The 16,351-nt window shown below is 40.8% G+C and overlaps 1 long non-coding RNA gene and 1 pseudogene across 1 annotated transcript in view; both read right to left on the bottom strand.

The window, feature by feature from the left end:
• CCDC90B-AS1 (CCDC90B antisense RNA 1) overlaps positions 1 to 16,351 on the bottom strand; it is a 140,270-nt gene that overhangs the window by 81,765 nt on the left and 42,154 nt on the right. The gene's annotated exons all lie outside the window — the stretch shown is intronic.
• CYCSP28 (CYCS pseudogene 28) lies at positions 15,180 to 15,767 on the bottom strand (annotated as a pseudogene).

The following is a 16,351-nucleotide window of genomic DNA, read 5'->3' as shown; positions in this document are numbered from 1 at the left end:
TGTCTCTACCCTTTTCTTTAAACTTGCCTCCTTCACTATAGGCAATCTTCACCCTCCATTCCTCCTTCTTCTCCCTTAGCTTGTGTTCTTAAGAACTTAAAACCTCTTCAACTCTCACCTGACCTAAAATCTAAGCATCTTATTTTCTTCTGCAACACCGCTTAGCCCCAATACAAACTTGACAATGGCTCTAAATAGCCAGAAAACGGCACTTTTGATTTTTCCATCCTACAAGATCTAGATAATTCTTGTCATAAAATAGGCAAACAGTCTGAGGTGCCTGATGTCCAGGCATTCTTTTACGTATCGGTCCCTCCCCAGTCTCTGTTCCCAATGCAACTCATCCCAAATCTTCCTTCTTTCCCTCCCACCTGCCCCCTCGGTCCCAACCCCAAGCGTCGCTGAGTCTTTCTAATCTTCCTTTTCTACAGACCCATCTGACCTCTCCCCTCCTCGCCAGGCTGAGCTAGGTTCCAATTCTTCCTCAGCCTCTGCTCCTCCATCCTATAATCCTTTTATCATCTCCCCTCCTCACACGCGGTCCAGCTTACAGTTTCCTTCCTCGACTAGCCCTCCCCCACCTGCCCAGCAATTTCCTCTTAAAAAGGTGGCTGGAGCTAAAGGCGTAGTCAAGGTTAATGCTCCTTTTTCTATACCCGACCTCTCCCAAATCAGCGTTTAGACTCTTTTTCATCAAATATAAAAAACCCAGCCCAGTTTATGGCTCCTTTAGCAGCAACCTTGAGATACTTTACAGCCCTAGACCCTAAAAGGTCAAAAGGCCATCTTATTCTCAATACACATTTTATTTTATTACCCAATCTGTTCCCAATATTAAATATATCTCCAAAAATTAAATTCCAGCCCTCAAACCCCACAACAGGACTTAATTAACCTCACCTTCAAGGTGTACAATAATAGAGTAAAGGCAGCCAGGTAGCAACATATTTCTGAGTTGCAATTCCTTGCCTCCACCGTGAGACAAACTCCAGCCACATCTCCAGCACACAAGAACTTCCAAACACCTGAACCGCAGCTGCAAGGGGTTCCTCCAGAATCTCCTCCTGCAAGAGCTTGCTACAAGTGCCAGAAATCTGGCCACTGGGCCAAGGAATGCCCACAGCCCAGGATCCCTCCTAAGCCATGTCCCATCTGTGTGGGATCCCACTGAAAATCGGACTGTTCAACTCACCTGGCAGCCACTCGCAGAGCCCCTGAAACCCTGGCCCAAGGGTCTCTGACTGACTCATTCCCAGATCTTCTCAGCTTAGCAGCTGAAGACTGAGACTGCCCGATTGCCTCGGAAGCCTACAGGACCATCACAGACACTCTGGGTAACTCTCACAGTGGAAGGTAAGTCCGTCCCCTTCTTAATACGGAGGCAACCCACTCCACATTACCTTCTTTTCAAACGCCTGTTTCCCTTGCCTCCATAACTGTTGTAGGTACTGACGGCCAGGCTTCTAAACCTCTTAAAACTCCCCAACTCTGGTGCCAACCTAGACAATACTCTTTTAAGCTCTCCTTTTTAGTTATCCCCACCTGCCTAGTTCCCTTATTAGGCCGAGACACTTTAACTAAATTATCTGCTTCCCTGACTATTCCTGGGCTACACACCACCTTTTCCAGACACCAGACCAACTTGTACTGTGCCCCAAATAACTTGTCATCCCTACTATCTTCTGTCTAGTCATACTCCTATTCGCTGTTCTCAACTACTCATACATGCCCTGCTCTTGTTTACACTGCCGGTTTACGCTGTTTCTCCAAGCCATCACAGCTGATATCTCCTGGTGCTATCCCCAAACTGCCACTCTTAACTCTTAAAGTAAACAAATAATCTTTGCTGGCAGGACTATGCTGAATCTCCTTAGGCACTCTCTAATTAGATGTCCTGGGTCCTCCCAATTGTTAGACCTTTAATACCTGTTTTTCTCCTTCTCTTATTCCACTTAGTTTTTCAATTCATACAAAACCGTATCCAGGCCGTCACCAATAATTCTAAATGACAAATGTTTCTTCTAACAACCCCACAATATCACCCCTTACCACAAAATCTTCCTTCAGCTTAATCTCTCCCACTCTAGGTTCCCACGCTGCCCCTAATCCCGCTCGAAGCAGCCCTGAGAAACATTGCCCATTATCTCTCCATACTCCCCCCCAAAATTTTCGCCGTCCCAACATTTTACCACTATTTCATTTTATTTTTCTTATTAATATAAGAAGACAGGAATGTCAGGCCTCTGAGCCCAAGCTAAGCCATCATATCCCCTGTGACCTGCACGTACACATCCAGATGGCCAGTTCCTGCTTTAACTGATGACATTCCACCACAAAAGAAGTGAAAATGGCCTGCTCCTGCCTTAACTGATGACATTATCTTGTGAAATTCCTTCTCCTGGCTCATCCTGGCTCACAAGCTCCCCTACTGAGCACCTTGTGACCCCCACACCTGCCCGCCAGAGAACAACCCCCCTTTGACTGTAATTTTCCTTTACCTACCCAAATCCTATAAAATGGCCCCACCCCTGTCTCCCTTCGCTGACTTTTTTCGGACTCAGCCCACCTGCACCCAGGTGAAATAAACAAGCCTTGTTGCTCAAAGCCTGTTTGGTGGTCTCTTCACACAGACGCACGTGAAAGTAGGGACCTAAGCATTTTAATTAAAGTCCTCATTTTGAATCCTCAGTGCCATTTGTTTCTGGTACATTTGGTTCCTGAGTCCTTATGTGGAGAGTTGGGGATGAAAGGTAAACTGTTACCATTTGAATGGAAAACAAGCCTGAGAACTGATTACAGATCCAGATGAACTGAAAATGTAATAAGCAGGCACTATCCTCTAAACAGGAAACTACTAATTAGATTTTTGAGCTTAGCATAAATGCCTCCTAAATTTCATGTTAATACAGAAACTCACTGTATATTGATTCGATTTTTCTGATGCAAAAAGTGTGCGCTGGTTGAATGTGTCCCTAGAGGCTTAATTGTGCTGGGTATCCTACAGCAATGGTTGTATTGAAATGTAAATAATAATGCCAAGAGCCATCATTTATGTTTGCAGTGATCGGAAGCTGTTCATTCTAAATTATTATTTTTACATTTCTCTTGTCTTTGGCCTTGGGAATATGTCAAAAATGTACAAAATGCATTTCCAGGTCAGACAAACAAATAAGTCTATATTAATTAAACACAAATCAAGTCTGTAAGTTTAAGTTTCTGTATCAGTGTGATAATTCATTAATTAAGAAACCCCAGCCATTGGCCAGGCACGGTGGCTCACGCCTGTAATCTCAGCACTTTGGGAGGCCGAGGCGGGTGGATCACGAGGTCAGGAGATCGAGACCATCCTGGCTAACACAGTGAAACCCCATCTCTACTAAAAATACAAAAAATTAGCCAGGCATGGTGGTGGGTACCTGTAGCCCCAGCTACTTGGGAGGCTGAGTGAGGAGAATGGTGTGAACCCAGGAGGCAGAGCTTGCAGTGAGCCGAGATGGTGCCACTGCACTCCAGCCTGGGTGACAGAGTGAGACTCTGTCTCAAAAAAAAAAAAAAAAAAAAAGAAAGAAACCCCAGCCATCAAACAGTCTTCAGTGAGGATGTAGGGTCCACGAGCCTCAAGGTTGGCATCAGATCAGTGAAGGAACAAAGATCATGACCTGCTTTTGACAACTGTATTGTTTTAGGAAGGAAGTTAGGAAGGAAGGATCTGAAGAGAGCTCAACAAGGGCACACCTAAAAGAAGATAAAGGAAAATAAATGCCAAGTGGGGGAACTATTTGCTTGGTAGAAGTGGAACAGGGGAAATGTATAGCATTTGAAAACAAAAACCTAACATTTCATCTTGAAACAGCAGAACTCAGTTCACCACTGGAATGAACTGAGGGCCAATCAGGCATACACTTGGAGCTCAGATCTTGGGGAACATATTTATATATAACTCTCTTTGAATTAGCTTTCAATCAGAGCAGTCTTCTGCCCAGGATATTCTGGGTTTGGAGAACAATGGCAGCCGTCTGATTTGAATCTCCCCTACACTCTTCCCAATCCCACTCCGCCCCTCAAAAAAACAAAATTGACAATGAGAATGAATAAAACCATACCTGATTTGAGTCGTCAGCATAACTAGAAAACAGAACATCATGACCTTCAAGTTATCTGTAAGTAAAGGGGAATAAAATTATAATGGACTACCGTGGTTCTTCTGCCATTGAAAACCTGTGAGGGCAAGGAGTGAAGAGGGAGAGGTTTAAGAGATTTCATGAAAAAGAATAGAGAGGAGCAAAGAACTTGGATAACATGTAGACAGAAGCACTTCCAGAAAGTGCCAGTCCAACAACAAATGGCAAAATACTGAATATAGGCTGGGCCTTGATAGCTTATGGCACTAATTATAGGGAAGGGGCTTGAAAATGTGTAAAACCCAAAGAAGGAAACAATAGACACTGGGGTCTAGTTGAGGAGGAGGGGGGAGAATGGGAGGAGGGAGAGAAGCAGAAAAGATAAGTATTGGGTAGTGGGCTTAATACCTGGGTGATGAAATAATACGTACAATAAACCCCAGGGACATGTTTACCTATGTAAAAAACCTTCACATGTGCCCCCACACCTAAAATAAAAGTTAAAAAAAAGTGTGAAACCAGATGAGGCAGCCCCAAGATGGTTACTTTGTGGGGAGCAGCAGGTACAAAGAAAAATGGTAGTATTAGTTGAATACAAGACAATAAGAAGTAGGTAAGGAAATAAAAGGAAAAAATTAAGGATACTACAGAAACAAAAGAGAAATAAGACCTACCAATCCTTCCCTTTTCCACAAAAGAAACTGCATAGAAGGCATAATTGACATAAGACGTAAGAGAATGTTCTCAAACTAGGATCGCTGTTCATGAAATGATTTGGCATAGATAGAAAGCAAACCACAACCACATAAAACTATTTAAAAAATCACAAAACACAAGTCAAAGCATTACTGTGTTGAAAACTTTCTCCAAAAACCAACTATAAAACTGAAGAAACCCGTAACACAAAACTCTAAGCTGTATGAAATATACTCAAACAAGTATTTGGGGATATGGAAAACACCGTGATCCAGAAATACAAAAATTAAGAGTAGATACAAACCTAAAAATAGAGGTATGGGGGGAATGATATGAGAGTTGATTAAGAATGGAAGTAGAAGAAAAAGATCAAATTATATCAGAAAAAAAATGATATCAGAATCTGCCCCACAACATAAATATTAGGAGGAGCCTCTCTATGGTCTCCATTCTTTTCATTTTTACCCCTCTTCCCCCAGGTTTCCAGATCCTTCCTTCTCTGCCCTCTGTGTTTATGAAAGTAAGTCCCATATCACTTTACTACTGTTACAGCCATTTCATGAAATCGCTAAGTGTCCTCAGCACTAGAGCTTCCTTATCATCAGAGTGGAGCACCTACAAAATAAATGAGCTATTCAGAACATAATTTTATAGTATTCTTATGCTTAAAAAAACTCATCCAAAGAATGTCAGTTTCATTTCTTACACATTCTCCCCCACCCCTGCCACCAACCAGGATTTTCAAAGGTTGACATCACAGGGGAGAAAAAGTAGTATCTCTTCCTCACCCATCACAAGGTTCATTGCTGACACCCCTATAACAAAGACAGATTAACAAGAGAAAAGGATAACAAAATTGTTTAGTGAAAGTTTTAAGTGACAAGGAACCAACAACCCAGGGAAAACTATTTTTATGGACAGTTGGGCAAAAGTACAATTGGAGAATAAAGGGAAACTTAAAGAGAATCTAATACTAATAAACTACGGGAAACTTAGCAAGGCCAGTTTGTTCAGATTCTTCTTGGAGTCTCTGTGCGACATTTCTTTCCTCTGAGTATAGGAGAGACACCTGTTACATGAGGGTTTTCAGGGGAGAAAGGTAGGAGAAGGTCATAGAGTGACCTTTGTGTTTCTGCAGTTTTCTCAATTCCCTTCAGTTTAAAATACTCAGTAAGCCGACGTGCCATACTTTGGGATATCATAGTCTGAGCCCCAACAGTATTCTTTTTTTAACTTGTTTTTGCTAAATAATTTAAATATTTAAATATATCCAGGTTTGTTACATGGATATATTGCATGATGCTGAGGTTTGGGGTAAAAATGATTCTGTCACCCAGGTAGTGACCATAGCACCCAATAGGTGGTTTTTCAGCCCACTCCTTCCTCCCTCCCTCCCCAGTCTAGAAGTCCCCAGTGTCTATTGTTCCCATCTTTATGTCTATGTGTATTCAATGTTTAGCTCCCATTTGTAAGTGAGAACATGTGCTCTTGCATTAATTCACTTAGGATAACATCCTCCAGCTCCATCCATGTTGCTGCAAAGGAAATGATTCTGTTCTCTTCTGTGGCTGCATAGTATTCCATGGTGTATATGTACAATATTTCCTTATCTAATTCATTGTTGATGAGCACCTAGATTGGTTCTACGTCTTCGCTATCATGAATAGTGCTGCAATGAACATATGAGTGCATGTGTCTTTTCGATAGAATGAATTATTTTCCTTTGGGCAGATACTCAATAGTGACACTGCAGAGGTAGTAGGATAGAATGGCAGATGGAGGTACCTAATAGATGAGCCTTAGTTCCCTGTGATCTGTTCCCAAGGGGATCCAGAAGTTATCATGTGGCCCTGGAGCTGCATACTAGTGCACAGTAGTTGAATGGTTGTTCTGTTTTAGTTCTTTGAGAAATCTCCAAACTGCTTTCCACAGTGGCTGAACTAGTTTGCATTCCCACCAACAGTGTATACGTATTCTCTTTTCTCCATAGCCTTACCAGCATCTGTTATTTTTTTGACTTCTTAGTAATAGTCATTCTGGCTGGTGTGAGATGGTATCTCATTGTGGTTTTGATTTGCATGTCTCTGATGATTAGTGATGTTGCCATCTTTTCATATGTTTATTTGGCTGCTTGACTGTCTTTTGAGAAATGGCTGTTAATGTCTTTTTTTAATGGGGTTGTTTGGTTTTTGCTTGTTGATTTGTTTAAGTTCCTATCAGATTCTGGATATTAGACCTTTGTCAGATGCATAGTTTGTGAATATTTTTCCCAACAGTATTCTTTATCATCCTTCAATTCTTTAGCATGGCACAGCTATTCACATAAATGAAGCCTGTCAAATAGAAAATCTCCTGGATGAGTGTTCAGAAATATTCACTGGTTTAACAGAGACTTCTAGGTCACCATATTCAGGTGAGCCTGTGGGGAGAAAATTTAAGGAGCACTGTGTAAAACCACACACACCCAAGGCCCAAGACTTGTGAGAGCTGAAACTCAACCATTGGAGATTATTTTATGTTGATCACTGTTATTTCACCTGAAGCTCTAGAAAAGGATATTCAAATAGAACTCCCTCAGCAAATATTTACTCTGAGATATCCAGCCCTTTCCTTAGCATGTTTGTGAGCCCTGTTCTTTCTCTATGCTCCATATGGGCCTTTCTCCCATTGACATTGAAGACTGATGTCTTGCTCACTGGGTTAGCCCCACCCTGGCTCTCATTGGAACTACTGGACCTCTGAGGCCTCTGCAGCCGTGTTGAGGTTGCCAGTATGGATGGCCTGCTCTGCCCTCTGCCTCAGCATCACTTCTGCTGGCCACACTCACACAAGTTTATCTTAAAGAGAAACTGGAGGACACTATATAGAAGGTGACTTGCATCTGAACTTTGCCTCCCTTCTTCTCTCTCACCTCTTCCACCCAGTACCAGAAGGTCTTCCAAATTTCCTCTTACCTCCCAGAAGGGACACTCCTCATGTTATGTTATAGCCTTCTCCCCTCGTTTCAACCTCTTAGTCTAGTCCTATTAGAGAAAACACTAGGGGAAAAGAAACAGAATTCATAACAGGTAAAAATGCAACAGGAGTTACTTTGAAAATATTATCATCTTTGTCACACACATAAAATGTGAAGCAGTCCAAGAGGCTTGTGTTAAATACTTAAGTACTTAAGGTTTTACAGAAGTTCATATGAGTTCAAAAGAAGAGCAATCATCAAAGTTAACATAGTTCAAGAAGGCTTCATGAAGACTATAGATTCAAGCTGGGTTTGGAAATGTTCATATTCCTCGTACATTCAGAAAAAACAAGAGCATCCTAGGAAGAGAAAACAAAGTGAGCAACAGCATGGCAGGTGGGAGGTGTTATGGCCCACCAGCTTGGATGGAGCAAAGGGGTTGCTTAGGGGAAGAGCACAAGACAAGATGAGGGCATCAATGACCCAATTATGATGATCTTTGAATGCTAGACTAGGCACTGTCACAAGCGTTATCTTTTTCATCCCCGCAAAAACCATGTGAGGTAGGCAATTCCTGTATCCCACTTTAAAGATGAGGACCTGGAAGCTCCAAGAGATTAAGTGACGTAAGAGCAAACAGCCAGTTAGTTGCAAAACTCTCTGTCATCAAGTCTTAATTGTCACATAGATAAAACAAACTCGTACTGTGTTGCCAATACTTTATCCTAACATATGATGCCTTGATGAGAAGAGGTTGGTGGTGACATACCAGAGTTATTTTCGACCTCACCAACACACACATGCACACATACACACATATGTGGACACTCTGAGATCAGCGTAAACTCTGTGCAGTTTGAACTTCCATACATGTGTTGTAGGCATGATAGATGCCATTTTCACTGAATGTTGAAGGCAAATTGAATTTTCTTTTTGACATCTTGACATTTTTGATTGGATGTAGTTTACCAAGCAAAGGCCTTTCCATATACCACAGGCTCTGAAAACATGACTACACAAGGTATAATAATGTAATGTTGCTGTTACAAGCTCCATTCGATTTACTTTGAAATGTCATTAAAAATTGCTTCTGTCAGAGTGTAGGTATTGGATCTGAGACAGGTTTCTAGGAGTGTTGCTGGAGTTGATGGGCAACTGTTGCCGTAGGCCATGGATGAAAGCCAAGCAAGACAAAGAGCTCAGCACAGGGAGAGCCCTTGGACAGGAGGTAAATATGAGGATTTGGGGGAGCTAACAGGCACCTGAGTGGTGGGAAAGGAGCTCAAAAGGGTCCAAACTAAGACAAATACTCCTTCCAGCCTCCACACCATGCTGTCACCTATCCTTATGATGGATAAGACTCTCAAAGCAATGCCCACTCTCTACCCAACATCTCCATTTGGAAAACTGATATAGATCTAGGTGCGGTTGAAATGTTAACACTCTACATTTCCCTTAACCTAATTACAGTTACTGCATCACAATTAGGTTAAGGGTATCTTCTTCCAATCCGAATCAGTCTCTAGCCTAGAGGTGTGACTTTTTGATTCACATTTCTATCATTTCATTCTCAGTGTCTATTTTTAGTTTTTCTCCAAAACTTCTTGCAGAAAATGGGGCAGAATTCTCTACTGACTCTGTATCTTAATGGACTACTGGTTCTTGCTTTTTTAAGCCCATTTATTTATATTACGTAATCATAGCTATAAGAATAAACCCTTGCTTTCAAGCACCAGTGGATTCAAGACAATGAGAAAGTGTACTAAATGTCGGTGCTTTTTAACAAATATTCAAAATGAGATTAAGCCCTGGAGTGCCACCTAGAGAAGGCTATCCTAGTCATGGATGTTTACAAGAAGCCTACTCCTGTACTTGAAGCTCCCTCCAGCTCTCAAATTCTCTAAAGCAGGCCAGTTTCATCTGGGTTTGATATGAGTGTTGCCTCAGTGTTTGTTTGCCTTGTTTTCTGCACTGGATTCTAGTGCAGAATGAGGCCCATTCCAGTCCTTGTTCCTAAGGAGAGCCTGTCCACTGGTGCATACAGGCATATTGTTGCTTTTTCTTAACTTCTGAGCATGTTCTTCCATTGCCACACTCCGAATTTCTATTTTGTGCCACTTCCTCCTGTACAGATGACCCTTAGAGCAGTCTTCACACTGGATTAAAATGGCTTGTTTGCATGTCTGTTTTAAGAGACACTGAGGTACTTGAGAAAAGGAACCGTATTAGAGTCTCCAGAGAAACAGAACCAACAAAATGTGTTACACACACACATATATAAATGTGTGTGTGTATATACATACACACACATATATAAATGTGTGTGTGTACAGTGATTCACTTTAGGAACTGGCTCACACAGTTGTAGAGGCTTAGTGAGTCCAATATCTGATGTGGGAGGCTGGAAAGCTGGAGATTCAGAAAAGAGTTGCAGCTCAAATCCAAAGGCCATCGCTGGCAGAACACCCTCTCACTAGAGAGGTCAGCCTTTTGTTCTAGTCAGGCTTTCAATTGATTGGATAGTGTTCACCCACATCATGGAGGACAATCTACTTTACTCAAAGTCCACTGATGTAAATGTAAGTCTCATCAAAAAACACTCTCAGAGAACCAGAATAATGTTTGACCAAACATCTGGGCACTGTGGTCCAGAAAAGTTGACGCATAAAATTAACTGTAACAGGGACTTTGTCCCAATTGCCTTTAACATCTTCAGCACCAGCAAAGCCTTAATATACAGGGTGTTTGTTGAATGAAATGATGTCCAATGAATGGTGATGCAACCTTCTCAGCGACTTGAAACATCCAGTTCGCTACAGCCCCAGACATTATCATTTTCTTTTGACTTAGTATAATTATTTTTTAAAAAACCCTTAAAGTGGTGGCAATGTTCTATTTAGAGATTGATAGATATTCTTAATCTTTAGGCAAAAATGTTAAGAACAAATCCTGCAAAGAGAAAAATAAGCCTGTGTCCAGGGATGAGAAAGGGTATGCCATGCCTATCCCTAAAGCTAAGACCATGTGACATTTGCTTTTGTAGCTGGTCTCCTTCACTGGGTCTCTGAGTGGGAATGGAACTGCATCCAGCAAGGGCTCTTGAGCCATCTGAATCACAGGTAGAGACTGTGATTGATGGAGTGTAGGATTTTGTCCAATAAATTCAGAGGCTACTTCCCCACTTCCCCATCTCTTGGTCTTGTATTTGACTCTTCAAATAGCCCCTGAAGCCAAGGTGAGTATGGAGGGGAGTTGGCAGTACCTAATTTATACTAATATTATACTTAAAAAGTAATAGAATGTCCTTTGAAAGGCCTCACTGTTTTAACAGAGAGACACCTGAGGGTAATCTGTCTAATGAACAATAGAGGTAATTTCCACTAGAGTTGCTTGGGGATTTTGTTTATGTGATTTATTGTGGTAGTTTTTTAAAGGTATAGGTGAATTGAGCTTCTATCTTCAGACTAATTTTTGTGGTTGAAATAGAGCTCCATAATTTTCAAGAAGGGAAAAGTGTCTATTATTAATTCATTCAAAACATATTTACTGAGGCTGGGTGCTAGGCCATGAAGATACCAAGCTGAATAAGACCCAGTCCCTGTCTTCAAAGAGTCTCCTAGAGGGAGGCAGCCATATATGGATGGTTTTAGTAACATTACTTGTAATAATGAAAAACTGGAAGTCAACCAAATATCTCCATCAAAGACAGAATAGAAAAAATAATCATTAAATAGGCCCACAGTTCCTAAACTCTGAAAGCTAAAAGTGATTTTATAACTCATTTGGCAGCAAAGCCCAACATGAACTAACATGAGGTTATTTAGTGTCTTTATTATTCCATTTAGTGTGAATATTTTCTATATTTTAAGGAGAAATATTCATGTGTTTAATCAGAAAATGCTTCTCCAGACCCTACTGGGAGTGCCATGTTATTGATGGAATAAATATCCTATTACCTTTATGGAAAAAAGCAAAAAGTCTGTATTTGCAAACACATCTGGCCCCAGGAATTTGGACTAAAGACTTGAGGGCTATGGACAGGTGCGGTGGCTCATGCCTACAGTCCCAGCACTTTGGGAGGCCGAGGCGGACAGATCACGAGGTCAGGAGATCGAGACCATCCTGGCCAACTTTGTGAAACCTCTTCTCTACTAACAATGCAAAAATTGGCTGGGCATGGTGGTATGTACCTGTAGTCCCAGCTACTCGGGAGGCTGAGGCAGGAGCATCGCTTGAACCTGGGAGGCGGAGGTTGCAGTAAGCTGAGATCGTGCCACTGCACTCCAGCCTGGCAACAGGGCAAGACTCCATCTCAAAAAAAAAAAAAAAAGACTTGAGGGCCTGTATAACCGAACAGTGGGATTCCACTAGCCAAGACAATGAATGATTTACAATTACATATATCAACATGAATGAATCTCAAAAGCAGGTTGAATGAAAGAAAGCAAGTCACAGGAAAAAACATTCAGCATGATGCATGTTGCATTAAGTTTAGATTCTAACAAACTTAGCATGATACTGCTTAGGAATGCATACGTTTTATCAGTAACTAAAACTAAAGGAATCATAAAGACAGATTCTGAATGGTGGCTCCTCTCTGGGTGGGTAGGGGCCCAAGGTTTAAAGGTGATAGAGTGGGTGGCACTTTGGCAGTACACTGGCACAAATGCTTGCTAAAGCTTCTGCAGGTAGGGTTCCTACTTGTGGCCAGGAAGAGCCAGTGGGGTATGAGAAGGAGTTATGGGTTCTATAACCAGAAGGCTGCTGTAGATCTCCTACAATGACTTCTTTCCAAAGTTGGAGTTTTGAAACTGTATCCAACAGGACTCTTGACTCAGTTTTCTAGGTTTTCCCTTCTCTTTGCCCTAGATTTAACTTCATATTCCCTGATTAGACTAAAGCAGAATTGGTTCAGATAGGAGCTGGCAAGAGATAGTGTTCTAAAAATAAAGGCTGCAGTTGTGTGGGGAGCTCTGATGAGAAAGGACGCAATTAATAATCTCCACTCAACAGGAAGCCAAGGTAGAAGTGATTCATCTGTAAGTTTGCAATCCTGACTTTATGGGCAAGCATTTCAAACAATTTATGAAAATTGCTAATGAGAATGCAAACCAACTTCATATTCAGAACGATTAGCCTCATTAAAAACTAATCACATTTCTACTCACTGCCCCCCTACCTCATCCTACTTATGCACACAGAAAGTTGCCTTATTGAATCTGACTGTGATGGGCAGAGCCTGGGGATGGACTTGCAGAACTCTCAGATAAATTTTACATTTAGATTGCCGTGCCGTCAGCAGTAATTGGAGGAGATGCAGACATGATAGAGAACAGTGAATGATGAAAAAGAATATTTATTACATAGTCCTGAATGTATCTTACTGCAGATTTTCATTCATTCATCCATCACTCATGTTTTCCATAGACAATGTTCCAGGCACTGTGTTAAGCACTAGGGGATAAAAAATTGAATGTATTCCTTTCCATTTAAAGAGCTCCCCATTAGACAGGAATACAAAGATGAGAACAGATGGTTTTAATTCATGTAAAGCCACCTTCCCTTGTCAAGAAGGACCACCTATAGAATAACTCCAGGGCCACCAGTCATAAAATACAACATGACGCTGATCCCTGGAGATGTCTCTTAGGAGTACTGAGGATGGCACTGAAATTCAGGGAAGGGCTGGTGAGGACAATAAAGACCTTTAGAAGACGATAGTGACCTGGGTTTGGAGAATGAATAGAGCTGACTGGGTAAAGAAGAAATGGGGGAGATATGCTTGCTGGTATAGTTTTGTTCCTCATAAAACAAGGTTTATTCCTCACCTAGAATCATTTATTCATGAAGATATCATATCTACTTCCTGTCAGTTCCCTTCATTCTTGAGAAAATTCAGGGGTTGAGAATCTGCAACTCCACTTCGGACAGGAGAAAATTCTACAAGTTCCAACAGATAGCGCGTATGTAACTATCCTAGGAGATCCGGAATTTGAAAGCCTATAAGGAAACAAATAAATTTAAAGAATAATAAAAATAGCTTCCATTACTTGAGAGCCAACTCTGCACCAGGCCCTGGACAGGGCACTTTATAAATAACATCTTAATGAATCTTTGAAAAACCCTAACTGAGGCCCAGAGAAATGAATTTACCTGCCCAAAGGCACAAACACAGTTGGTGGAGGACCAATATTTGTTTGATTCCAAAGCTTTGCTCTTCAGGAAACGAAGTGAATAAAGAAATAGCAAAGCTTCAAGAAATAATGCAAAGTTCTCCTTGTTCCAGACCTCTCCAGTTGTAGTTTTGTAGGAGAATCTCATCCATCCTACTACCTCCTATGACTCAGTAAAGTACACACTTCTCTTTCCATAGATGAAATTAAAGTGCTAGTATTGAACTCAAGTGCTGCGTATTTCTGAGAAGCATTTCTAGTACTTCCTTACAAGTACAAATCATCTGCATAAATTCCAAAGAAACCAGCCAACAACTCTAGCTTCAATAAAATAATAGTAAGTTCCAGTGTATGGTGGATTTCATTACTAGTGAGAATTATACATTTGGATAGTCCACATTCTCTAATATACAACAACAGAAGCCTAGAAGTGACATTGTCCAACAATTCAAAGGAATAAATAAACAACATTGATCGAACCACAACACGCCCTGGCATAAACAACAAAAATAAACACTTATTTTCTCTTTTAAAAATCCTCAGCATTTGCTTCAGCAAACCATTTCTTTTTTTCTTTTATTTTTAATTGGCACAGGATAATTATACATATTTATGGGACACAGAGTGATATTTCAATAAATGTGTAATGAACAAATCAGGGTAATTAGCATATTTATCACCTCAAGCATTTATCATGTCTTTGTGTTGTGAACATTCAAAATCCTCTCTTCCAGCTTTTTGAAAGTATGCCCTAAATTGTTAACCATAGTCACCCTGTACTGTGCTGCAAAACACTAGAACTTACTTCTCCTATCTAGGTGTAATTTTTTAAGTGTTAAATATTCTTTATTTGATATTACACATAAACCACACTAAAATGCCTTTCAATGAGTAACAGAAACCATTTTAGATACAGGGAATTCTAATTAGACTGGCACAGTTAAGACCAAAAATGTAAAGTAGACATTGCTATCTCATCTTCAGCCCTTGCCTTTAAGAGGCAAATGAACACAAAGCACAGATGAATCTTGCTTGGTTCCGAGATAGGGAAGGAATTTCCCCAGTATTTAAATATATTCGTATAACCAGTTACATAAATCTAAATATAAAACCAATTTCCAATAGATTTTTAAGATGGCATTCACCATCTTTGTGAACATTTGAACATTACCAGCGAAGTTCAATCCTCTCTTTAGAAGTGGAAAACCGTGATAGCATTTACTGAATCAGAACTACTTTTACAATTTAAAAAGGCAAGCATATTCATTTAACCACAAGTCAGTTTTAGTTAAACCAGGACTGCTCATCAAAAAATATTCTGTCATTTATGATCTGAATTCTGGTTTATGAAATCTATTAACTTATAATATACATAAAAAAGTTATGAGACATTTCTGTTTTGTAATAAATAAGGCAGTGGCCAATTCTTACTCCATAGCAGCTTTTTTGAGATAAGCTATCAAGCCTACCCTTTCTGCCTTTCTTCTTAATGCTGGTGAAGCTCATTTTTGTTCCAGGGATATACTTCTTGGGATTCTCCAAATACTCCATCAGTGAGTACATCATCCTCTCCCTAGGTGGTACCTTTATTCTTATTGGCATCTGTGTAAGAGAATCCAGCATCCTGATCTGTCTTCTGCCCAAAGATACCGTGAAGATTTGACGCAGTCTTGTGCTAGCCTCCCTTTTCCATGGTGTGGCACTGGACACACTCCTCAACAAAAGTCTTCTTGCCTTTCTCAGCATCACCTATATTTAATTCTCTTTTTTGTCACTGGTGCTACAAAGGTTCCCATTTGGAAGCTGGACATCACACTCTCTCTAGCTCTACTTTTTGTATCCATTAACCTACCTTTACTCATCCTTCTTCCCCCAACACTTCTTATGCTCTCACAACCACAATTCTACTCTTTACTTCTACGGGGTGTCTCTCCCTCTTTTTTTTTTTTTTTTTTTTTTTTGCTCCCACTGTATTAGTCCATTTTCACACTGCTATAAAGAACTTCCTGAAACTGGGTAATTTATAAAGGAAAGAGGTTTAATTGACTCACACGTCCACATGGCTGGGGAAGCCTCAGGAAACTTACAATCATGGCGGAAGGGGAAGGAGGAACCTTCTTCACAAGGCAGCAGGAGAGAGAGACAGGGCATGTGAAGGAAGAACTGTCAACCATTTATAAAACCATCAGATCTCATAAGAACTCACTATCATGAGAACAGCGGGGGGAAACTGCCCCCATGATCCAGTCACCTCACACTGGGTCCCTTCCTTGACACGTGGGGATCATGGGGATTATACTTCAAGATGAGATTTGAGTGGGGACAAGCCAAACCCTATCACCCACATATGAAGGAGAAGATGTGGCATTTATCTTTCCGCACTTGATTTACTTCACTTAACATAA

Source organism: Homo sapiens, chromosome 11 (assembly GCF_000001405.40).
Source record: "Homo sapiens chromosome 11, GRCh38.p14 Primary Assembly".
Taxonomy (NCBI): Eukaryota; Metazoa; Chordata; class Mammalia; order Primates; family Hominidae; genus Homo; species Homo sapiens.
The sequence above is the reverse complement of the archived record's forward strand: the minus strand, read 5'-3'. Positions and strand labels throughout refer to the sequence as shown.